The 25070-nt window shown below is 46.9% G+C and overlaps 1 protein-coding gene across 7 annotated transcripts in view, besides 7 other annotated features; it reads left to right on the forward strand.

Annotated features, from left to right (window-relative positions):
• PIGL (phosphatidylinositol glycan anchor biosynthesis class L) overlaps positions 1 to 25070 on the forward strand; it is a 109202-nt gene that overhangs the window by 68432 nt on the left and 15700 nt on the right. For all 7 annotated transcript variants that reach the window (XR_007065545.1, NM_004278.4, NM_001411072.1 and 4 more), the window contains one exon: positions 14247 to 14337. Coding sequence is in view for 6 of the 7 variants with exons in the window: in NM_004278.4 (NP_004269.1) it covers positions 14247 to 14337 (91 nt within the window). In the remaining variant the exon portion in view is untranslated. The remainder of the gene's footprint in view (positions 1 to 14246; positions 14338 to 25070) is intronic.
• Positions 102 to 1091: an enhancer, noted in NCBI's record as "OCT4-NANOG-H3K27ac-H3K4me1 hESC enhancer chr17:16189057-16190046 (GRCh37/hg19 assembly coordinates)". NCBI's record gives its function as "activates a minimal SCP1, AML or CMV promoter by ChIP-STARR-seq in naive H9 embryonic stem cells {active_cell/tissue: H9 hESC(naive)}" and the evidence as "EXISTENCE:reporter gene assay evidence [ECO:0000049][PMID:30033119]".
• Positions 256 to 305: an enhancer, noted in NCBI's record as "active region_11751". NCBI's record gives its function as "activates an Ori minimal core promoter by ATAC-STARR-seq in GM12878 lymphoblastoid cells {active_cell/tissue: GM12878}" and the evidence as "EXISTENCE:reporter gene assay evidence [ECO:0000049][PMID:35858748]".
• Positions 354 to 648: an enhancer, noted in NCBI's record as "tiled region #12459; HepG2 Activating DNase unmatched - State 1:Tss, and K562 Activating DNase matched - State 5:Enh". NCBI's record gives its function as "activates a minimal TATA promoter and a strong SV40 promoter by Sharpr-MPRA in HepG2 and K562 cells {active_cell/tissue: HepG2 | K562}" and the evidence as "EXISTENCE:reporter gene assay evidence [ECO:0000049][PMID:27701403]".
• Positions 2176 to 2305: an enhancer, noted in NCBI's record as "active region_11752". NCBI's record gives its function as "activates an Ori minimal core promoter by ATAC-STARR-seq in GM12878 lymphoblastoid cells {active_cell/tissue: GM12878}" and the evidence as "EXISTENCE:reporter gene assay evidence [ECO:0000049][PMID:35858748]".
• Positions 2566 to 2615: an enhancer, noted in NCBI's record as "active region_11753". NCBI's record gives its function as "activates an Ori minimal core promoter by ATAC-STARR-seq in GM12878 lymphoblastoid cells {active_cell/tissue: GM12878}" and the evidence as "EXISTENCE:reporter gene assay evidence [ECO:0000049][PMID:35858748]".
• Positions 2636 to 2685: an enhancer, noted in NCBI's record as "active region_11754". NCBI's record gives its function as "activates an Ori minimal core promoter by ATAC-STARR-seq in GM12878 lymphoblastoid cells {active_cell/tissue: GM12878}" and the evidence as "EXISTENCE:reporter gene assay evidence [ECO:0000049][PMID:35858748]".
• Positions 19572 to 20073: an enhancer, noted in NCBI's record as "H3K4me1 hESC enhancer chr17:16208527-16209028 (GRCh37/hg19 assembly coordinates)". NCBI's record gives its function as "activates a minimal SCP1, AML or CMV promoter by ChIP-STARR-seq in primed H9 embryonic stem cells {active_cell/tissue: H9 hESC(primed)}" and the evidence as "EXISTENCE:reporter gene assay evidence [ECO:0000049][PMID:30033119]".

Here is a 25070-nt window from a genome sequence, read left to right on the forward strand (position 1 = left end):
CATTTGGTCTGTCTGGGCTCCTAAGCTGCTTAGAAATGAGGTCCTTATCACAGCAGATACTTAATAAAAGTGCACTGATCTTTATATACCTCTTTTTTCAGTCCTTTTTCTTTTTCTCAGATCGCCTTTTCCTTCTCTTACTTATCTTTTCCCCTATTTCTTTTCTCTGCGTATGGCTTAGGTTAGTCCTTGGCGGTGCAGAGACACCCCCCAGAAGTTGTTGGACCCTGCTGCAACCTCCCTGCAGCTTAGACTTCATTTCTTCACACTCCTGTATTTGGAGCAGCGACGCTAGTGCCAGGCCCTCAGACCAGGAGACAGTTGCTGCCTCCCACAGTGGCCCTTGGGGGGCGATATTGGCAGTCCCAGGTTAGGCTTCCACGTCCTTGGCTAGCCTTAAGGTTAGCTCTGAACTCTACTGACCTTTGCTCGCTTTGGATGACAAAGGAAATGATCGAGTTTAGAGATGGGCCAGAGGTGGGTGGAGGGGTGGCTGAACCTTCCGGCTTGCGCTGTACAAGCCACAAGACCAAATAAGGGCGTGTGAGCCGCCTCCGTCTGTATTAAAGTTCAGAGTGCAGTGTGCAAAAGTGGGACTCGGTTTTCAGAGATAAGCTGTTACCCAACCCTGCTTGAGTTCCAGCAGCGGAGGCTGCGAAGTCTCCTGCTCTGAGCAGGGCTGGGTCTGGGGGAGAAAGACCTGGGCCCCTGGGCTTGCTTAGCTGGGGAGAGGAAAGAAGGGGGGCTTCCCTCACCAGCACCTGGTGACTGAACGGACCCACAACCCCACAGATTTTCACAAAGGGTTTCCATGACTCTCCCGACTAAAATGTGCCGGCCAGTGTGACTCATTAGAATGTGTAGGAAAGGTCACTGTTTGAGGATATTCAGCCAGTGGGGGAAAAAACCACAACGTTATTTTAATGAACGCTTTTAGCCTGGCTTGTTTCCTGAACATTAAGGTCTAGGGCGGGACTTCGAGTTTGGGGCCTTTTCCAGAGGTATTAACACTGTGTTTGCTAAATACACCCCAGGGAAGGAGTCGTCGGGCTTCTACGAGTCACACTTAAAAGACTGGCAAGAGTTGGCTTCTTCTGTTGTGTTCTTAGCTTCCAAAATAGTAGTCTCTCCTCAGAGCCAGACGCGCAATGCCATCATGTTAATGAGGTGCCTCATGTGCTTCAATAGCCACTGACTGATGGTACCCCGAACCTGCCTGGATTCCTCACCTCTTCCCCTGCCCATCTCTCCTTCCCGCAGCAAACTGCTCATCCTGCAGCAGTCCGAACCTCTGCCTCATTGGCCCTAAGCTTCCTAAGGGAAGGGACCATGACTTGTATTCATGTTTATATCCCTAAAACTCAGCCCTCTGTTTGGCACATAGTGTGTGCTTAGTCCAGATCACTTAAATGTACAATGATTTCATTCTCTCGGAGCCCCGCTCTGGTGGTGTGGGTCCCTGGGGACCCCTCCAGATGCCTTTCTCCAGCCATGGCTGCGCAGGCACCGAGAAGCCGCAGGCTGGTTCCAGCTCACAGCCTCTCGCCTCAGGCCCACACTGCTCCTCCTGCTGTCTGCCCCAGGGCTTGCGATTGCCCGGGGGTCCCCAAGCGGGCTCAACTCTGAAAGATTAGAGAGCTAACAGCCTATGGAGATAAATACTTCCTTCTTTATCTTCCTGGGAAGATGGACAGTTGTAAGATGATTTTCTTACAACTTTCAGACAGTCCTGTGGGAACACACAGCCAGTGCCCATAAGTAGGGCCACATCAGTAGAGCATCCCTGCTTCCCTGCCTTCTCCATCTGTCAGTGGCTTCTGCTCCTGGGGTCACAGTCCCCAATAAAGTACACACTAAGCCTTCTTCCTAGGGGAGCTGAGACTCGAATACATTCAGAGCCCTTTAAGAAGTTCTCTCACAGACTTATTTTTGTTTTCAAAATTCAATTCCTCTAAATATATTTCTGTTCCTCTTTCGTCTAAGTCTCATTCTTTTTGACTGAGAAGTCAGAAGCAAAATTAAAGTTTAGTGACTAGGGTTTTTTTGTCCTGTTATACGTTGACATTCCTTACCGTGGGTGTATCTGTGCTTTCTTTGCTCTTACTCTGAACATGCCCAAAAAAACTCTTGTGTTATCTTTAGCATATTTCATAAGCCACAATTCAGGAAGTTAGAGAAATTGCTCCCTGGTGCAGAGCAACAGAACTGCCGACCTCTTTCCACTCCAATTGCGGTGAAAGTGATATCTCTCTGCCTGAGCTGACGTTGGCCTTTAGGCTTCTCTAATTATTTCCTTAGGTTAGATTTCTAGAAACACAGGGTCAAAGGGCACAGATATTCACATATAGGCAAGTTACCTTCTTCTTGAGATGTAGCAATTTAAACTCATAACAGCAGTACATAACAGTGCCCCTTTCTCTGTGTCTTTCTCCAACACAGACATCTTGCTTTAATTTTGCATTTATTTGATTCTTTCTGAGAAGCAGAAGGAATATATGTTGGCCGTTTGCATTTCTTCTTTTCTAAATTACCTGTTTTCTTTCCTTCCTTCCTTCCTTCCTTTCTTTCTCTTTCTTTCTTTCGAGACGAAGTCTCACTCTTGTTGCCCAGGTTGGAGTACAGTGGCTCAGTCTCGGCTCACTGCAGCCCCCACCTCCCAGGTTGAGGCTATTCTCCTGCCTCAGCCTCCCGAGTAGCTGGGATTACAGGTGCCTGCCACCACGCCCAGCTAATTTTTGTATTTTTAGTAGAGATGGGGTTTCTCCGTGTTGGCCAGACTGGTCTTGAACTCCTGACCTCGTGATCCACCCGCCTTGGCCTCCCAAAGTGCTGGGATTACAGGCGTGAGCCACTGCGTCCAGCCTATTACTATTATTCTTTTTTTCTTTTCTTTTTTTTCTTTTTCTTTTTTTTTGAAACCGGAGTTTCGCTCTTGTTGCCCAGGCTGGAGTGCAATGGCGCGATCTTGGCTCACCGCAACCTCTGCCTCCTAGGTTCAAGCAATCCTCCTGCCTCAGCCTCCTGAGTAGCTGGGATTACAGGCACGCACCACTGTGCCCGGCTAATTTTGTAGTTTTAGTAGACACAGGGTTTCTCCATGTTGGTCAGGCTGGCCTCAAACTCCTGACCTCAGGTGATCCGCCCACCTCAGCCTCCCAAAGTGCTGGGATTACAGGCGTGAGCCACCACACCTAGCTAAAAATTCTTTAATAGGTCTCTTTAATGTTTTAAGTAGTCCTAGATTTCCCCTGTGAACCATCTTGAAAGTTTTGCCTTTTATTCTCAGTTCTCTTTTGCTGGCTTCTTATCAGGAAACACCACCTGACTGATTTGAGATGTAAAGTGATGGAGTGCAAAGACCACAGGTCTCTGTATTCAAAGGTCTAGGTGCAAGGTACAACCTTACCGGATATTTCAGAGCTTGTCTTTTATAATTTTTGAGCTGAGAAGGTCAGGTGAGATAAACTGTATGGACTGGAATTCTGATTTGAGATGTAAAGTGATGGAGTGCAAAGACCACAGGTCTCTGTATTCGAAGGTTTAGGTGCAAGGTACAACCTTACCAGATATTTCACAGCTTGCCTTTTATCATTTCTGAGCTGAGAGGGCCAGGTGAGATAAACCCTATGGACTAGAATTCTGAAAGGAGAGCAGTATGTCAACAAAGGAGGATTCAGCAACTGCCTGATGCAATCTCTAGTTATCTTCGTCCTGCACCAGCAGTATATGATGCTATCTCATCCAACTCCATTCTTCAGATTTGTCATCTCTCCTTTACTTGGATAAAACCTGGCTGGAAACTTGGCTTCAGTCCTCCATATCCATCTGTTTTAGGCAGACTTAACTCAGCTTTACATCTTTGCAAACTTACCCACGCACATCAGCATCCGAGAAATTTCCATACTCTTTGATTAAAATTGCAGTAAAAGTCACAAAGGACCTTGCTTAAAATGAAAGGAAGTTTCTAGGAACTCTAAGCTCAGTAACTTTATGACCATTCCCTGTAGAGCTGCAAAGGTCTGGATTTGAAAAGTCATAAGTAGCAAGGGAATTGCGCCAGAATACCTGTCTTTTGCTGGAGCAAATCCATTGCCTGGTTCATGCCTATGTCACATAGGCAGGGCAATGCCAGACTTTTCTTTTCTTTTTTTAAAGACAGAGTTTCGCTCTTGTTGTCCAGGCTGGAGTGCAGTGGCACGATCTTGGCTCACTGCAACCTCCACCTCCTGGGTTAAAGCGATTCTCCTGCCTCACCCTCCCAAGTAGCTGGGATTACAGGCGCCCACCACTAAGCCCGGCTAATTTTGTGTTTTTAGTAGAGATGGGGTTTCTCCATGTTGGTCAGGCTGGTCTCAAACTCTCAACCTCAGGTGATCCGCCCACCTTGGCCTCCCAAAGTGCTGGGATTACAGGTGTGAGCTACAGCACCCGGCCTTCTTTTTTTTCTCTTTTTTTTAATTTTTTTTTTTTGAGACGGAGACTTGCTCTGTTGCCCAGGCTGGAATGCAGTTGCTCACTGCAACCTCCGCCTCCTGGGTTCAAGGGATTCTCCTGCCTCAGCCTCCCGAGTAGCTGGGACTACAGGCATGCGCCACCACACCCGGCTAATTATTGTATTTTTATTAGAAATGGGGTTTCCACATGTTGGCCAGGCTGGTCTCGAGCTCTTGACCTCAAGTGATCCACCCTCCTGGGATTACAAGAGTGATCTGTCCCCTCCCCTCCCCTCATCTCCCCTTCCTCCACTCCTCTTCCCTTCTCTCTCTTTTGAGACAGGGTCTCATTCTGCTGCCCAGGCTGCAGGTGCAGTGGTGTGGTTATGGTTCACTGCAGTCTTGATCTCCCAGGCTCAAGTGATCCTTATGCCTCAGCCTCCCAAGTAGTTAGGACTACAGGTGCATGCCACTGACCTGGCTAATTTTTTAAATTTATTTTTTGTAGAGATGTAGCTCAGAATGGTCTTGAAGCCCTGGCCCAAGCAATTCTCCCTCCTTGGCCTCCCAAAGTCCTAGGATTACAGGCATGAGCTACTGCGCCCAGCCCAGACTTTTTTGTTGTTGTTGTTGTTGCTGTTTCTCACCCAGGTTGCAGTACAGTGGTGCGATCACAGCTCACTGGAGCCTTAACCTCTGGGGCTCTGGCAATCCTCCTGCCTCAGCCTCCCAAGTAGCTGGGACCACACACATGCCACCACTCTCAGCTAATTTTTTTTTTAATTTGTTGAGACAGGGTCTCACTATGTTGCCCAGGCTGGTCTTGAACTCCTGTGCTCAAGTGATCCTCCCACTTTGGCCTCCCAGAGTGCTGAGATTACAGGTGTGAGCCACCACACGTGGCCCCCAGATATTCTTTAAGTGTAAAGCTTGACTACTATTTGAGGCTTGACTTCTGCTTTCAAATTGATTTTGAATTACATACAAGTAATTTCCAAGGAGAGTCAGTTAACAAGATAAAATTGTGGTCTTTACCATATGTGCATTCTTTTATATTCTCAGCCCCATTAGTGCTTGTATAAGTCCATGTGTACTAAGTAAATCTCTTTTAACCAGTTCTTTCCAACTGTGAAAAGAAGTAAATTATATGGGGCTGGGCGTGGTGGCTCGCGCCTGTAATCCCAGCACTTTGGAGGCTGAGGCGGGCGGATCACTTGAGGTCGGGAGTTTGAGAACAGCCTGGCCAACATGGTGAAACCCCATTTTCATTAAAAATACAAAAATTAGTCGAGCGTGGTGGCGGGCACCTGTAGTCCCAGCTACTCAGGAGGCTGAAGTAGGAGAATCGCTTGAACTCAGGAGATGAAGTTTGCAGTGAGCTGAGATTGTGCCACTGCACTATAGCCTGGGCAACAGAGCGAGACTCTGGCTCAAAAAAAAAAAAAAAAAAGAAAGAAAGAAATTATATGGATTTTTCAGGGAGCTTACAAGGATAAGAAAATAGGACTTGGCTGGGCGCAGTGGCTCACACCTGTAATCCCAGCACTTTGGGAGGCAGAGGAGGGCGGGTCACCTGAGGTCAGGAGTTCGAGACCAGCCTGGCCAACATGGTGAAACCCCTTCTCTACGAAAGTACAAAAATTAGCCAGGCATGATGGCGGGTGCCTGTAATCCCAGCTACTCGGGAGGCTGAAGCAGAAGAATCACTTGAATCTGGGAGGCGGAGGTTGCAGTGAGCTGAGATTGTGCCACTGTACTCCAGCCTGGGCAAGAGAGTGAGACTCAATCTCAAAAAAAAAAGAAAAAAGAAAATAGGGCTGAGGCAGGAGGATCACTTGATACCAGGAGTTTAAGACTAGCCTGGGCAACATAGCAAGACCCCATGGCTATAAAATTAAAAAAGGATTAAAAAGTAGATAATATTAAAACACCTTAGATTTTTCAAAGTAATGGAGCTCTTTTTTTTTTTTTTTTTTTTGAGATGGAGCCTTGCTCTGTCACCCAGGCTGGAGTACAGTGACATGATCTCGGCTCACTGCAACCTCCATCTCCCAGGTTCAAGCGATCTTCCTGCCTCAGCCTCCTGAGTAGCTGGGATTACAGGCACGCACCACCACACCCAGCTAATTTTTTGATTTTTAGTAGAGATGTGCTTCACCGTGTTGGCCAGGCTGGTCTCGATTTCCTGATGTCAGGTGATCCACCCGCCTCAGCCTCCTAAAGTGCCAGCACCAATGTGCCCGGCTGGAATGGAGCTCTTAATATAAATTGTACTTATTAGTTTTTCGTTTCAGCCTATAAAATGTACAAATCTTTCTCTTTAAAAAAAAAAAAACACTCCTTTGATGCTGTATGCCTTGCAAGTTAACACACTTTCCATCTACTCTTCATAGCAGAGTTCTTACAAGAGAGATCCACGCATGTGCTTTTCATTTCACCATTGACTCAGAAGTTACATTTATGATTTTATCACAAAGAAATATTGAGAGAGGCATACAGAGTTATGGATAAGGATGCTCATTACAACCTTTTTACAATACTAAAAAATTGGAAACAACCTAAATAATTGATGATAGGGAGGCTTTAAAAAATTATGGCATCTATAAATGAGAATTTGGCTTTGCTGCAAATAGCAGATGACCCACAATAACTGTGGTAGGAGGAGGGATGCTATCTGGGACCGTGTGATGGCTCACTCCCCAGAGTCCTTGCAGCTTGGTTTCCTCCTTTTTCATTACTCTACTCTGTCTGGCTTCATACCTAAGATTACTTCACAGACCAAGAGGGCTTCTCCTGTTCTAGTTATCAGCAAGAGGGACTAGACAAAGAAAACTGGGGCAACTATCATTCACCAACTGTCTCTTAAGGAAGCATCCAAAAACTGACTTACATGTTTATCTAGGGTAGAATTGTTACTATATTAGAGAAGACAGAAACTATGCTTGGACCCAGGCCTTGAGCTGATTAGGGTTGAACTTTAGGCAAAGAACAACTCAGATAGTTAGTCTAAAAGGAGTTTTTTCTACATTTATCTGTTTGAAATTTCCCAGCATCAAATTTTATATTTTCCTATATTGAGGGGAAGGGGCCCCATTAGGATATTTTGCCCTTTTGCCCAATGTATACACTTTTTAACCCATAATCTGTTTTATAAAATTGCAATCTTTCGGCCTGGCGCAGTGGCTCACGCCTGTAATCCCAGCACTTTGGAAGGCCAAGGTGGGTGGATCACGAGGTCAGGAGATCCAGTCCATCCTGGCTAACACGGTGAAACCCCGTCTCTACTAAAAATCCAAAAACAAACTTAGCCGGGTGTGGTGGCGGGCGCCTGTAGTCCCAGCTACTCGGGTGGCTGAGGCAGGAGAATGGCGTGAAGCCAGGAGGCGGAGGTTGCAGTGAGCCGAGATCGCACCACTGCACTCCAGCCTGGGTGACAGAAGGAGACTCCGTCTCAAAAAAGAAAAAAAAATTGCAATCTTTCAAACATCTTGCTTACATGCATCAGCCCCCAGTGGCTGGTATAATTCCCTTTGGTTCATCCAAATATAGAGTACTTCTGTCAAGCAACTAGTGCTTGTTAAACCCCCTAACACACTTCCTTGCATAGGGTAGAAGCACAATTACTTATTGTTTATTTATTTTAAAAAATTGTTCATTGACTTGAGTTGTACCATGTACCACCTAAGAAATAGAAGAATAAGGCACAGGCCTAGTCTTATATTTTAAGTTTAGCTAAAGAGACACACAAAACAACAGAAAATAATAGAATACTATTCAAATCAGGTACGAAGTGGGGTAGTCTAAGCTATAGTTGGTAGAGGAGTTCAGTGAAGGTTTCTAAATACAAGGAAGGTGTGTAGTAAAGAATTTGGCCTTGTCCAATGAGAGATCTGGTCTCTCATTGGCTTTTGGGAGGTTATCTGTGTCATACCTGATAGCAGTGTCTTTGCTCTGTGAGGGAAGCTCACTTGGAGAAAGGCTCACAGGAACAGGTGTTGCTCCACGCCTTTCTTTTAGTGGCTCCACCCCCTGATAGTGGGTGAGATCAATCATTTGCTTATGACACAGTCCTAGACTTAAGAGTTGGAAGGACTCTCAGGCAGTCATCAGGTGCATCCCAGAATTATTTTATCTTTACTGATGATGCAGCTCCTGCCAGGTCACATGGAAAGCAGGGGAGCTAGAACTCGGGTTCTGTGTCATCCTACCCCATGTTCTCTCTGCCACATCACATTGCCTGCTCGTGACACTGGACCACTGTAATCATGGACGGTACTCTGTCCCTGAGCTTCTGGGGTGAAACTGGCTATTAACCCTTGCCATGTCTCCCTTCCCTGAGCCTTGAATCCTGCTTGCCCTGTGGTGCCCCCATGTCCCCCAGTACGGTTCTCCCCGCTGCCCTCTATAACCAAGCACCTGGCAGGTTATTGCTTTTCCATAAAGCTGGAAAACTCTTAGACAGTGAGAGGCAGGTGGCCAGACTGCTGCTGTCCTTTGAAGGTTTAGGGCCAAGACTGAGCAGCAATTGAAAGTATCCATTGAACACCTGCTGTGAGTAAGACATCGCCTCTATCTTAAGCCTTTGCTCTATTCCAATGGAAACTACAGTTTCCAGGCTCCCATGTCCATTGGCTTCTGGAGGGGTTTGACCAGTAGATGGCAATGATGGATGACTAGGAGGTAGCAGAGGGAAGAACCAGGTATTTCCCCCATCCTCCACCCTAAGTGGCATGTCCATCAGCAGGTTGGTGTTTTCCCTGACATCTAGCTAGTTCTCCTGACATCTAGTTCCCACCACTGCTCCCCTTCCATGGCTCTGCTGTCCCCTATCTTAGAGGTGGTGGTGCCCTTCTGCTGTGGCCAGTCTCTGCGTTGTTTCACTGTTTCCTGTTTGGCCTCTCAGCTCTTCCCATACAGTGGGTAAACAGGTCTCTATATTAAATTCCTTCTGAAATACCTGGTGGTCTCCATTTTCTTGGTTAGACCTTGACTGATTAATGGCTCATGTAACATCCGTCCATCGGGGGACTTATGATAGGTTGGAGAGTCAAGAATTAAATATATGCAGCCTGTAATCCCAGCACTTTGGGAGGCTGAGGCGGGCGGATCATCTGAGGTCAGGAGTTCTAGACCAGCCTGGCCAACATGGTGAAACCCTGTCTGTACTGAAAATACAAAAACTAGCCAGGCATGGTGGCGCACGCCTGTAATCCCGATTACTGACAGGCTGAGGCAGGAGAATCGCTTGAACCCAGGTGGCGGAGGTTGCAGTGAGCTGAGATCATGCCACTGCACTCCAACCTAGGTGACAGAGCAAGACTCCGTCTCAAAAAAAAAAAAAAAAGTATATATATATATGTATGTAAAATACTAGTAAAATAAAATGTAGAGATTCCATACATGTACTAAAAATCACTGAGTTATTAGCTGGGCTTGGTGGCTCACACCTGTAATCTCAGCTACTTGGGAGGCTGAGGTGGGAGGATCACTTGAGCCTGGAAGTCAAGGCTCCAGTGAGCTGTGATTGTACCACCGCATTCCAGCCTGGGTGACAGAGCAAGACTCTGTCTCAAAAAAATAAATTATCAGCCAGGTGTGGTGGCTCACGCCTGTACTCCCAGCACTTTGGGAGGCCAAGGTGGGTGGATCACGAGGTCAGGAGTTTGAGACCAGCCTGGCCAATATGGTGAAACCCTGTCTCTACTAAAAATACAAAATTAGCTGGGCATGGTGGCACATGCCTGTAATCCCAGCTACTCGGGAAGCTGAGGCAAGAGAATCACTTGAACCGGGGAGGCAGAGGTTGCAGTGAGCTAGGATGGTGCCATTGCATTCCAGCCTAGGCAACAAGACCGAAACACCATCTCAAAAATAAATAAATAAAATAAAATATTCAGGAGAAAAAATGAAAAATGAAGAGTGAGTAGATTAGACTAGTGATCTCCAAACATTTTTATCACACTCCCCTAATGGCAAGAAACAACATTTGAGCTTGCACCTCCATATTTATGTACTTATTTATTCAAACTGTGTACATGTTAAACCCTGTTGGTATATGATGCCTTATAAAATAGCTACAAAATATAAATGTAAACAGAAAAACAGGTAAATAGAAGTCCTGGTGATTCATTGCTTTACCTCAATGAGTCATCTTACACATCTCCTGTGGTGCCTACCCCACTTTGAAATCATAAACCGCTTGTAGAAGTGGCCATCAAAGAGCTCTGCAAGGGACTGCAAGAAAGAAGGACTGGGGGCCAGGTGCAGTGGCTCACACCTGTAATCCCAGCACTTTGGGAGACTGAGGTGGGCGGATCACAAGGTCAGGAGTTTGAGACCAGCCTGGCCAATATGGTGAAACCCCGTCTTTACTAAAAATACAAAAATTAGCTGAGCATGGTGGCAGGTGTCTGTAGTCCCAGCTACTGGGGAGGCTGAGGCAGGAGAATCCCTTGAACCTGGGAGGCGGAGGTTGCAGTGAGCTGAGATTGCTCCACTGCACTCCAGCCTGGGCAACAGAGTGAGACTCCATCTCAAAAAAAAAAAAGAAAAAAGAAAGAAAGACTGGGGAGTTCTTTCTTTTTTTTTTAAAGGAGGGTTTAAATTAGGCTAATGCAGCAATAACAGCCACACTTTTGATGTTTACACATTTCTTTACAGTTCTTGAAGTCTCGCTCTGTTGCCCAGGCTGGAGTGCAGTGGCACGGTCTCGGCTGACTGCAAGCTCCACCTCCCAGGTTCACACCACTCTCCTGCCTCAGCCTCCCAAGTAGCTGGGACTACAGGCGCCCGCCACCACGCCCGGCTAATTTTTTTTTTGTATTTTTAGTAGAGATGGGGTTTCACCGTGTTAGCCAGGATGGTCTCAATCTCCTGACCTCGTGATCCGCCCGCCTCGGCCTCCCAAAGTGCTGGGATTACAGGCGTGAGCCACCGTTCCGGCCCTTTTTACAGTTCTTAAATGCTTTCTGACCTGTGTTATCTCATTGACTCTTTCAAATAATGAGAAAGGAAGTGAATCAAAATAGGAGATAGATTGGGGAAAACTTGAACGTGTGACCAAGAGGAGTTTGGACTTGATCATAAAAGTAATGATGCTTTATCAGATGTGTCACATCACAGAGCAGATATTTACAGTCCAAAGTCCCTCCCTAAATGATTGGCCTCACCCACAATGACTGGGTGGAGCCACCGAAAGAAAGGCATGGAGCAACACTTCTTCCTGCATCGCCCCTCAAAAGAGCAGATCCCAGTTCTCTGAAGATAAATGGAAGGCAGCCATGAACTTCCCCCTCTTTGAGGTTTATCTTTCAGCACCTTAGCACCTCAGAACAACAGAGAATTAGTAGGCTTAGCCTACTATCCTCCTATCCTTTCTCTCGTGTGCTAAAGTTCCATACAATATTACTGGTGTATTCCCTCTCCAAAATGATGCCTTAATACATTTATGTGAACCTCTCAGCCAGGAGTATGTATGTAGCTATTGTCATTCCAAGACATTTTCTCTGTTCCCATTGTCCATTTCTCCTTCAGCTGCGTGAGCTCAGGGGCTTATGTTTTACACACTATATTCAGCTCCATTTCCAGGAAACAAAACTGAACTTTGTCCTGATCCCGCTTTATCCCTTTCTCCTGATCCTGTCCCTCACCTGCTGAGCTGTCTGTCCTGCTCACTGCAGGAGCACTATGAGAACCACGTGGAGTGGCCGACAGGATAGGGCTTTGAAAAGTACAAAGCTGCCCTCTGTAGAAAACACCCTAAAGCAGAGGTTCCCAACCCCCAGGCTGCAGACCAGTACAGGTCCGTGGCCTGTTAGGAACCAGGCAGCACAGCAGGAGGTGAGTGACGGGCAAGCAAGCATTACTGCCTGAGCTCTGCCTCCTGTCAGATCAGCAGTGGAATTAGATTCTCATAGGACTGCAAACCTTATTTTGAACTCCGCGTGCGAGGGATCTAGGTTGCACGCCCCTATGAGGATCTAATGCCCCCCACCCCTGTCCATGGAAAAACTATCTTCCATGAAACTGGTCCCTGGTGCCAGAAAGGTTGGGGACCACTGCCATAAGGGGTTGGCAGATGAACCAGCTGAAGCAAAGGAAACAATTACATTATTTATTGCTGAGGCTCATGTTGTTTTTGTGCTGAAAAACCTCCAGTGACTCTCCTTTGCCCAAAGTCCGAAAGGGGGCCAGTTAATGACCTTTGTCCATAGGGAGGTGATAACAGCCTGCCTGGTAGGGAGCAGAGCCCATGTCCTCTCAGTAGCATTATGGGTGTTGCTGTAGGACCTGACCCAAAGAGAGATAGGTATCAGTTTATAAGATTATGAATAATATTTTCAAAAAAGGGGGCCAAGATGAGGCCTTAGTCTCATATCAGGTGACACCATAGATCAAAGCACAGAAAAGAGACAGGAAGGATTTCAGCAGGTTGGAGAAGGAGATAGGCCTGTGATGTGGCCAGGTGGAGACACAGATAAGTTGAAGTTTATTCTGGTAAAGACCTTTGTACCTGACATGCAGCAAGTCCCAGTCCTGATGGAGGGAGGATGTAGCCAGCTCCCTAGTGCTAAAGCATTTTGGCTTTGCAGGCAAAAACCTGCATTCAAAATCTAACTATAACAGCCTTGCAAACAAGCTACTTAACTTCATCGGTAAAGGCTCTGTCAAAGGCCAGGTGCAGTGGCTCACGCCTGTAATCCCAGCACTTTGGGAGGCTGAGGTGGGCAGATCACCTGAGGTCAGGAGTTCAAGACCAGCCTGGCCAACTTGGTGACACCCTGTCTCTACTAAAAATACAAAAATTAGCTGGGTGTGGTGGCGGGTGCCTGTAATCCCAGCTACTTGGGAGGCTGAGCAGGAGAACCATTCGAACCCAGGAGATGGAGGTTACAGTGAGCTGAGATCATGCCATTACATTCCAGCCTGGGTGACAGAGCGAGACTCTGACTCGGGAAAAATACATAAATAAATAAATACAAAAATTAGCTGGGTGTGGTGGCACGTACCTGTAATCCCAGCTACTCAGGAGACTGAGGTGGGAGAATTGCTTGAACCCGGGAGGTGGAGGTTGCGGTGAGCCGAGATTGTGCCACTGTACTCCAGCCTAGGCGACAGAGCAGTAATCCCAGCACTTTGGGAGGCCAAGGTTGGGCCAATCACCTGAGGTCAGGAGTTCAAGACCAGGCTGGCCAACATGGCGAAACCCCATCTCTACTAAAAATACAAAAATTAGCTGGGCGTGGTGGTGGGTGCCTGTAATCCCAGCTACTCAGGAGGCTGAGGCAGGAACCCCGGAGGCAAAGGTTGTAGTGAGCCGAGATCTCACCATTGCACTCCAGCCTGGGTGACAGAGGGAGACTCCATCTCAAAAAGAAAAAAACAAAACAAAACAAAAAAAACCTCTGTCAAAAGATGTTCATGAGGTTAATGAAGTAACATATCTTTGTACTTTTTATTAAAGTACTATTACTAATATTCTCATAAAGTGCATATCATCATGCCTTGTGCTCAAGTTCATTTTTAACACATTTGTCTCCCCAACTTGTGGACAGAGCCTTGTCTCATTGATGTTGTTTCTTACCCTCAGCAACAAGCATAAAGCTCCAAAAGTGTGTTGTGTGGAATTATGCATTAATTTCTAGTTGTTTCATGTTTGTAAATCTCACCTTAACTGAAATCTGCTGAAGCTTAAGGGCAGGGACCCTTACCCCCAATGTAACTATCATAAAACTGGGCATGCACCTACTGGAGCTTAGGGAGAAGGTTGTGCCTGATTAGAAAAGGTGTTCAAGTTGTGCTTCTCTCTTGTAGGGATTTCCCAGATGACCCAGGCATGCAGTGGGACACAGAGCACGTGGCCAGAGTCCTCCTTCAGCACATAGAAGTGAATGGCATCAATCTGGTAAGGGGGCAGCTCCCTGAATGGAAAACCTGAGGTCTTGGTCCCATTCACACCAGGTGGTTTCTGTAATTTTTTCTGTGGCCACCCTCCCACTTCCAGTCCTTCTCCAGGGCCACTCTCTAAGGAGGCCAGAACTTCCAATGCTCACCATTAAACCTACTGAAGAACAAACACACCTTTTGATATCTTTACGATCTTGTGTGAGACTGAATAACTAAATTATCAGTGCTCAGATAGAGGCAGAAGTTTTTTCTAAACTGTGTCCTCCTTAACACCCTCAAGCCCCCGCCTTTGTCCTGCCATCTAAAAATTCAGGTCCCCCAGAGCCTGCCCAGTGATTCTCATTTATACAGAACTTGACCTCACCTTTTACCAAGCATTTTCACAGAGTATCATTTTAACTTTAAAAGTAAAATTTGTGACTGGGTGTGGTGGCTCATGCCTGTAATCCCAGCACATCGGGAGGCCGAGTTGGACGGATCACCTGAAGTCAGGAGTTCCAGACCAGCCTGGCCAGCATGGTGAAACCCCATCTCTATTAAAAATACAAAAATTAGCCGGGCGTGGTGGCATGTGCCTGTATCCCAGCTACTTGGGAGGCTGAGGCTCGAGAATCGCTTGAACTTGGGAGGCAGAGGTTGCAATGCGCAAAGATTGTGTTACTGCACTCCAGCCTGGGTGGCAGAGTGAGACTCTGTCTCAGAAAAAAAAAAAAAAAGTAAAATTATCAGTTTACATTGAAGAAACTGAGGTTTTGCAGAGGCCAAGCAGCTTGTCCAAGGTAAACAAGTGGTGGTGAAGCCAGGATTTTTAAGCATTGATTTCTTCATTCCAAAAAACATGAGAATGCATTCATACCCACTAAGGAAGAAAATTTTTGATGCAATTAGAGCAATAGCAGAGATTTGTATTTACTGCAATGGTGGACAAGCCTAGCAACACCAGTCTCAGCTCTTCTAGGATCAGCAGGACTGCTTAGCCCATAGTCAATTTTAAAGCTGCCAAGGAGGCTTACTGTCTACCACTCAAAAAATATATAATAATCCTTCATGAGGTAATATCTAAAATTCCACATTTAAAGCCTCACCATTTGGCTTAAGTTTTGATTAAGTTCTCATGAAAACATGAATCCTGCTGGCAGAGAAACATATTAGGCTTTTTTTTTTAATTTTTTTTTTTTAAGACACAGGTTCTCCCTCTGTTGCCCAAGCTGGAGTGCAGTGGCTGCCTCAGCCTCCCAAGTAGCTAGAACTATAGGCACATGCCATCATGTCTGGCTAATTTCTTTTTTCTTTTTTTTTTCTGAGACAGAGTTTCCCTCCATCGCCCAGGCTGGAGTGCAGTGGCGGGATCTCGGCTCACTGCAACCTCCGCCTCCCGGGTTCAAGTGATTCTCCTGCCTCAGCCTCCTGAGTAGCTGGGACTACAGACACGTGCCACCACGCCAGGCTAATTTTTGTATTTTTAGTAGAGATGGAGTTTCACCATGTTGATCAGGCTGGTCTCAAACTCCTGACCTCGTGATCTGCCTGCCTCGGCCTCCCAAGTACTGGGATTACAGGCATGAGCTACCACACCCAGCCAATTTTTAATTTTTTTTTTTTTTTTTTTGAGACAGAGTCTCGCTCTGTTGCCCAGGCTGGAGTGCAGTGGTGTGATCGCCGCTCACTGCAAGCTCCGCCTCCCGGGTTCACGCCATTCTCCTGCCTCAGCCTCCCAAGTAGCTGGGACTACAGGCGCCCACCACCACACCCAGCTAATTTTTTGTATTTTTAATAGAGATGGGGTTCCCCTATGTTAGCCAGGAGTCTCCATCTCCTGACCTCATGATCCACCCACCTCGGCCTCCCAAAGTGCTGGGATTACAGGCGTGAGCCACCACGCCCAGCCTAATTTTTTTTTTTTAGAGACAGGATCTTGCTGTGTTGGCCAGGCTGGTCACCATCTCCTGGGCTCAAGCTGTCCTCCCTCATTGGCCTCCCAAAGCACTGGGATTACAGATGTGAGCCACTGCATCAGGCCCTGAGAGCAGATTTTCATTGATATATTCATTGGACTGTTTCTGTTCTCTAATGACAGAAATACAACTGAAATTTAGTACACACAGGCCAAAACAGGCACCTAATTTGCTCACCCTGAGTCACCTAAAAGCTGAGCTGCAGATGGGCCTCAGGTACCCTGACCCTACCACGACTCATCTCCATCTTTCTCTGCATGTTGGTTTTATTCCTTTTCCTGGCTGGAAAAATGGTCACCAGCAGCTTGCAGGCCCCACACTCCCTGCCTACCCTTCCCAGAGGATCTGAGCATGAAAGCGGTAATGTTAGATCCATGGGCTTAGGAATAATGCCTAGCTGTGCTGACTGGGGCTTGCCTTGGTTCTCTTACTCCTCCTCTTCAGCCCACACAGTTTGAAGTTCTCAGAGCCTCCACAGCCTCGATATGTAGACAGAGCTGAGGTTGGAGGTTGTCATGGCCAGCCTGAAGTACTCCCTGGCACCTCATTTTCCATGCTAGTGCCTTCCCAGTCCCTAAATACTCTCTGTCCTCCCCTACTTCAGTGCACGAGAACTACTGGTCTTCCAAATTGCTCCTGCTGTAGGGTACTCTTATCTTTTTTTCTTTTTCTTTTTTTTCTGTGAGACAGAGTCTCGCTCTGTCACCAGGCTGGAATGCAGTGGCGCGATCTCAGCTCACTGCAGCATCCAACTCCCTGGTTCAAGTGATTCTCCTGCCTCAGCCTTCTGAGTAGCTGGGACTACAGGTGCGCGCCACCACGCCCAGATAATTTTTGTATTTCTGGTAGAGATGGGGTTTCACCATGTTGCCAGGATGGTCTTGGTCTCCTGACCTCGTGATCCGCCTTCCCCGGACTTCCAAAATGCTGGGATTACAGGTGTGAGCCACCGCACCCAGGCTACTCTCATCTTTTTAAACTTGGAATCCAAAATCCTCTATAATCTGACCCTTACTGAAGTCCTGAACACTGGTGAACAACGTTGGTCTTTGCCGAGGGGCCAGATTTCTTTTTCAGACCATGTTGCAGCTGACCTTGACCCTGAGTATCTGAGGGAGGAGCTTTGGGGCACAGGCAGCTCTGTGTGCCATTCTTGCTTTCAGAAGAGTCTCCCATGTTTGGGTCCCAGAAAAGTGATCTGTGGTCCAGGCACCCCTCCAGACCTTCTTCTCAAAGAAGAGCTAACTTTGATGAGCCCTTTTTGAGGCTCCGGCAGTATTTGCTGTGTGTACTGCAACATATGTTGCTGTTTATTCTTAAAAGTGCAGACCACGTCTTGCAAACTAGACTAAGGCCTGTGAAGGCCAAGGCTGTGCCTGGTATCTTTATATCTCCAAGAACTAGAGCAGGCCCCTGGACAGTGCTCCTTACCAAACTGCTGCAGCTGTTAACTGCCACCTCCCTGCCTGGAAGTCTTTCCTGTGGTGCTGAGCTGCTCACACTTACTCAAGTGAGTCGACTTTTATTGTCAAGAGAATCTTCAATTGATTTAATTGCTATAAACAAGGAAATCGTATAAAACAGCTCCTTACTAATAAATTTCTCCTTTTTTTTTTTTCCTGAAATGAAGTCTCGCTCTGTTGCCTAGGCTGGAGTGCAGTGGCATGACCTCGGCTCACTGCAACCTCCGCCTCCCGGGTTCAAGCGATTCTCCTGACTCAGCCTCCTGAGTAGCTGGGACTACAGGTGCATGCCACCACGCCCAGCTCATTTTTGTATTTTTTTTTTTCTTTTTTTGAGACAGAGTCTTGCTCTGTCGCCCAGGCTGGAGTGCAGTGGCGTGATCTCAGCTCACTGCAAACTCTGCCTCCCGGGTTCACGCCATTCTCCCGCCTCAGCCTCCTGAGTAGCTGGGACTACAGGCGCCCGCCACCATGCTTGGCTAATTTTTTGTATTTTTAGTAGAGACGGGGTTTCGCCGTGTTAGCCAGGATGGTCTCGATCTCCTGACCTCATGATCCGCCCGCCTCGGCCTCCCAAAGTGCTGGGATTACAGGTGTAAGCCACTGCGCCCGGCCTACTAACAAATTTCTTGTGACACACTTGCTATTAATAAGGAAACTCAAGTTGACAGTACAGTTGGGAATAATTTCTCTGGCCTGCACTTAGTGCCATAGTAGAAGTATAGGATCATGCTAACACCGTGGCTAGTGTAGCTATAACTGGCCATCATTCGAGCTGAGCATGGGTTTCCATTCAGCCCAGAAGTTTCAACTGCACACAAGAGATGATGAAGCAGCAACACAGAAGCACAGACAGAGGTGTGGAGCACAGTCTAAGCCATGGGGAGAGATTTTCTCACCTGGGCTGCACCAGGATGAGAGCATAAGCTCTCCACCATCATCCAAAGCAAAGCTGGCTCTGCAGCCATCAATGCAGGAAACTGGGTTCTGTCTGGTCCCAGCTCTGTAGTACTGCAGGAACATCATAAAGACCATAAGGAATGGCAGACAGGACAGAGTTTTGAAAAGTACAAAGCTGGGTGGGTGCAATGGCTCATGCCTATAATCCTAGCACTTTGGGAGGCTGAGGTGGGAGGATCACTTGAGGCCAGGAGTTTATGACCAGCCTGGGCAATATATCGAGACTCCATCTCTATTTTTTAAAAAATAAAATAAAATAAATGTTAAAAAGAAAAGTACAAAGCTACCATCCTTGGAAAGCAGCCTAGGGGGGTAGTAGTGTCTTCTCTGGGTGTTAAGCAGGCTAGGTCCTGGGCCTCAACCCCTCTACCTCAACTTTCATTCAGTAAGTATTTATTAAGTACCCAATATGGGACATTTGCTTTAGGTGGTGAACTGGGAATACAACAGTGAGCCAGAAGCACTTAGTCCCTGCTCCCATAGAGCAGGATGTGTCAGTACAGCACTATTGCGCATTTGAGACTGGATAATTTGTTGTGGGGGTTGGCCTTGTGCATTGAAGGATGTTTAGCTGCATCCCTGGCCACTACCCACTAGATGTCAGTAGCAATCCCCCTCCTCAGTTGTCACAATCAAAACGTCTCTAGGCCGCAAGCAGTGGCTCACACCTGTAATTCCAACACTTTGGGAGGCTCAAGCAGGGGGTGGATTGCTTGAGACCAGCCTGGGCAACACAGTGAGACCCTGCCTCTACAAAAAAATTTAAAAATTAGCTAGGTGTGGTAGCATGCACTTATAATCCCAGCTACTCAGGAGGCTGAGGCTGAGGTGGGAGAATCACTTGAGCCTGGGAGGTTGAGGCTGCAGTGAGCATGATCACGTCACGTCACTGCACTGCACTGCAGCCTAGGTGACAGAATGAGAGCCTGTCTCAAAAAAACAAACAAAAAAAACCTCCAGAAGTTACCAAATGACCCTGGGGCAAAACTATCCTAGGTGAGAACCAGTGTCTTAGAAACCAGAGCAGCCCCACAGTTACCTATTTATTGGGGTCTGGGTAAGATTTTATTTGAACAAATACTTTTGCACTTTAGGAAAAAATAAAAGTGGATGGAGTTTTGTAAAGAATGACAGGTGCCATTGTCATGTACAAATCTGCAAAGTTCAGAGAGCTGAATACAATTTAGCTTAACCCTACTTGCAACAGAAAGGGGGAAACTACAAGGTACAGGATGAGAGAAAAAACAAAGACTGGAGAATTTCAAAAGTGATGGAGCTGAATTTCATGTGACCCCAAATCCACTAACCAAGGGACTGCCTGCCCTCCAGCACCCTTCTGATATCCATCCAGCCAGAGTGCTAGCCAGCTCCACCTGATGGCAACAGCCTGGGAGTTGAGATACTCTAGGGTTTTCTGCTGTACAGTTTTCTTTTTTGTAGCAAGATGGGGTTCTTGTTCTTGTCGCCTAGGCTGGAATGCAGTGGTGCTATCATAGCCCACTATTACATCAAACTCCTGGGCTCAAATGATCCTCCTGCCTCAACCTCCTGAGTAGCTGGGGCTACAGGTGCACGCTAGCAAGCCCAGCTAATTTTGTTGTTGTTTTTTGAGATAGAGTCTCACTCTGTCACCAGGCTGGAGTACAGTGGCACGATCTCGGCTGACTTCAACCTCCGCCTCCCGGGTTCAAGCAAATCTCCTGCCTCAGCCTCCCGAGTAGCTGGGACTACAGGCACGCGCCACCATGCCCAGCTAGTTTTTTTGTATTTTTAGTAGACACGGGGTTTCACCAACCTGGCCAGGCTGATCTTGAACTCCTGACCTCGAGATCCACCCACCTTGGCCTCCCAAAGTGTCGGGATTACAGACGTGAGCCACCGCGCCCAGCCTCGCTGTACAGTTTTTAAACACTATTTCTTCACTTAAACCTAGCAAGGAAAGTAGAGCTGGCATTACTTTTCCTGATCTTACACATGAGGAAACCAAGACATTCCATGTTGAAATAACTTCCAGTAGTAAAGTTTTCTGACTTGCCCAAGGTGCTGTAATTAACTAGAGTTAGAGATAAAAGTAGACTTTGATCTCCCCCAACCACCACCCCACCACCCACCTTGTTCTGCATGGAAGGGTGGGATCAGAACCAGGTGTTTGAGTTATACGATCTTTTTTTTTTTTTTTTTTTTCTTGAGATAGAGTTTCCCTCTTGTTGGCCAGGATGGAGTGCAATGGCGCGATCTCAGCTCAACTGCAACCTCTGCCTCCTGGGTTCAAGTGATTCTCCTGCCTCAGCCTGCCAAGTAGCTGGGATTACAGGCATGCGCCACCAGGCCCAGCTAATTTTGTATTTTTAGTAGAGACGGGGTTTCTCCATATTGATCAGGCTGGTCTCGAACCCCCAACCTCAGGTGATCTGCCTGCCTCTGCCTCCCAAAGTGCTGTGATTACAGGCGTGAGCCACCGCACCCGGCTGGCTTTTAAACAATATCAACACCGAAGGGGTGAGATTCTTAGAGTGACAGTTCAGAGACAGTCAGGAGAGTAGGGGAGATGGAAACACCTGCTACTAATGGTAAGGCTCGGCTGCGACTGCCCAGCCCTGGGAAAGCCTTTCTCTGCAGAGCACTTGATCCCACGGAAACTTGGCAGTAAGAGCTTTAAAAGGAAAGGGAGAGGGAAATGAAAGCGAGAGGGTTCTGTCAGGGAGCTGCTCGGTTTTAACAAAGGAGGCCATTCCCATGGCACAACCCTTCTTTCTGTTATCAGGAGACCATGTTGACATTACCCTGAATTCACCTAAACTGGTGCTGACTCTTCATGAGGTTCCCAATGATTCCTGAATCTCATGATGGCCAGAAGCCGGTCTCCTCATGGCCATGGCACTCTGAGAGGATGTTTGGTGACTGGACCTTGTGTTTTGTGGTTGTTTCCACTGTCTCCACTTCTTAGATTTGGTCCTCTTGCTAGGCCATAGGGTGTGCCAGTGCAGTAAAGTCCAGGGCACCTTGGCCTAGGTGCTAACTCCTTCAAAGTTTCTGCTTTGTTTCCACAGCTGCATGTTTCCAGCCTGTGCTGTGCACGCTGGGTGGGAGAGGGCAACTTGAATGCAATAACTACACCTAGCACAGTTGGCAAGACTCTTTCTTTACTATCATGAAGGAAACCACATTTAAAAATGTGTCCCCTTATGTATCCTCTGGGCATTGCATATAGTTCTGTCATCAAAGGTAAGAATGATTTTAACCCCAGTGCCTGGTACAGAGTAAGTGCTCAGTAATGTCATTAGCTGTTATTACAGCTATTACCACAACCTCAAAAAAAAAAGTTTGGCTGAGCACAGTGTCTTATGCCTGGAATCCCAGCATTTCAGGAGGCTGAAGTAGGAGGATCGCTTGACCCCAGGAGTTTGAGACCAGCCTGGGCAACATGACAAGACCTTGTCTTTACAGAAAGAAATTTTTTTAAGTAGCTGGGCCCGGTGGCACGTGCCTATAGTCTCAGCTACTTGGGAGAGGAAGACAGGATTTCAAGGAGCCCAGGGGTTCAAGGTTACAGTGAGCCATGATCACACCATTCCAGCCTGGGCAACAGAGGGAGACCTTGTCTCAAAAAAAAAAAAAAAAAGCCTGGATGCAGTGGCTCACTATTTTTAAAAAGTAAAATAAAATAAAATAAATTTTAAAAAGAAAAGCACAAGGCTGGGTGCAGTGGCTCATGCCTGTAATCCCAGCACTTTGGGAGGCTGAGGCAGGTGCATCACGAGGTCAGGAGTTTGAGCCCAGCCTGGCCAAGATGGTGAAACCCCATCTCTACTAAAAATACAAAAATTAGCCGGGTGTGGTGGCAGATGCCTGTAATCCCAGCTACTCAGGAGGCTGAGGCAGGGAACTGCTTGAACCCGGGAGGAGGAGGTTGCGGTGAGCCGAGATTGTGCCACTGCACTCCAGTCTGGGTGACAGGGTGAAACTCCGTCTCAAAAAAAAAGAAAATTACAAAGCTGCCATCCTTGGAAAGCAGCCCAGGGGGATAGTAGTGTCTTCTCTGGGTGTCAAGCAGGCTAGGTCCTGGGCCTCAAACCCTCTATCTCAACTTTCATTCAATAAATATTTATTGAGTACCCAATATGGGACATTCACTATAGGTGGTGAACTGGGAATACAACAGTGAGCCAGAAGCACTTAGTCCCTGCTCCCATAGAGCAGGATGTGTCAGTGCAGCGGCACTATTGCGCATTTGAGACTGTAATCCCAAAATGCCTGTAATCCCAGCATTTTGGGAGGCCAAAGCAGGCAGATTGCTTGAGCCCAGGAGTCCAAGACCAACCTCAGTAACATAGTGAGACCTTGTCTCTACTAAAAATTTAAAAAATTAGCCAGGTATGGTGGCATGCACCATACTACTTATACACTAATTTAAAAAAGCCACTGCATCCAGGCTTTTTTTTTTTTTTTTTTCGAGACAAGGTCTCCCTCTGTTGCCCAGGCTGGAATGGTGTGATCATGGCTCACTGTAACCTTGGACCCCTGGACTCCTTGAAATCCTGTCTTCCTCTCCCAAGTAGCTGAGACTACAGGCACGTGCCACCGGGCCCAGCTAATTAAAAAAATTTCTTTCTGTAAAGACAAGGTCTCGCCATATTGCCCAGGCTGGTCTCAAACTCCTGGGGTCAAGCGATCCTCCTACTTCAGCCTCCTGAAATGCTGGGATTCCAGGCATAAGACACTGTGCCCAGCCAAACATTTATTTTTTGAGGTTGTGGTAATAGCTGTAATAATAGTGTATAAGTAGTGTATTAATAGCTGTAAAAGTAGTGTCTTCCCAGCTACTTAGGAGGATGAGGTGGGAGGATTGCTTGAGCCCAGGAGGTCAAGGCTACGGTGAGCTATGATCATGCCACTGCACTATAGCCTGCATGGCAGAGCAGGAACGCTTAACCATCTCATAGATAACTAGATTAGTCTTCTTCTAGGGACCTAAAGAGCAAAGCGATAAAGCGAGCATAAAAGCAGTTTGAAAAGTAAGTGACAGAAGCATGAAAAGCATCGTTTTTGAATTAGTTCTTACTTGGATTCCATTGATGAGCACAAAACAGTAATCTGGTTCAGGATAGAAATATAAACATTAGGCCGGGCACGGTGGCTCACACCTGTAATCACAGCACCTTGGGAGGCCAAGGCGGGTGGATCACCAGGTCAGGAGTTGAAGACCAGCCTGGCCACATAACGAAACCCCATCTCTACCAAAAATATAAAAAATTAGCTAGGTGTGGTGGCATGCACCTGTAATCCCAGCTACTCGGAAGGCGGAGGCAGGAGAATTGCTTGAACCCAGGAGGTAGAAGTTGCAGTGAGCCGAGAAATTGCGCCACTGCGCTCCAGCCTGGTCAACAGAGCAAGACTCCATCTTAAAAAAAAAAAGAAAGAAAGAAATATAAACATTAGGCCGGGCACGGTGGCTCACGCCTGTAATCCCAACACTTTGGGAGGCCAAGGCAAGCGGATAACTTTAGTCAGGAGTTTGAGACCAGCACAGCCAACATGGTGAAACCCTGTCTCTACTGAAAATACAAAAATTAGCCAGGCATGGTGGCACGTACCTGTAGTCCCAGCTACTCAGGAGGCAGAGGTGAGAGAATCTCTTGAACCCAGGAGACAGAGGTTGCAGTGAGCCAAGATCGCACCACTGCACTCTAGCTTGGGCAACAGAGTGAGACTCCATCTCAAAAAAAAAAAAAAAAAAGAAAGAAAGAAAGAAAAAAGAAATATAAACATTAATCATTAGAAGACTTTCTTGAATTATGGCATTCTGTTGTTAAAATTCTTCCATTACCCACCACTTCTGTTGACTTTGTCAACATGTTAATAAATTGAGGCTCATGGTGGTAACTTTAAAGTTACAGGATCCTAAAATGTCTTCTGAATTATTAAAAAGTGTGTGTGTGTGTGTGTGTGTGTGTGTGTGTGTGTGTTCAGTGCCATGAACAGTGAAGTTAACTATGTACTTATCTTTTCAAATAAGGGATCCAGTAATGACTCTCAAGATGATCCTTCTAACCAGAGTGTTTGCTTGCCTGAAATACGATATTCCCTCACAGATGAGCTCTCCAGACCCCAGGAGAAAGAATAACTGATCGAAACTCATGTACTTGGTTGGTAGCTGTCAGAATAAGAGTGCAGGTCTTCTGATTCTTTTTTTTTGAGACAGAGTTTCGCTCTTGTCACCCAGGCTGGAGTCCAGTGGCGTGATATTGGCTCACTGCAATCTCCGCCTCCTGGGTTCAGGCGATTCTCCTGCCTCAACCTCCCAAGTAGCTGGGATTACAGGTGCCCACCACCACGCCCAGCTCATTTTTGTA

The sequence above is a fragment of the Homo sapiens genome, chromosome 17 (genome assembly GCF_000001405.40).
Source record: "Homo sapiens chromosome 17, GRCh38.p14 Primary Assembly".
Lineage (NCBI taxonomy): Eukaryota > Metazoa > Chordata > Mammalia > Primates > Hominidae > Homo > Homo sapiens.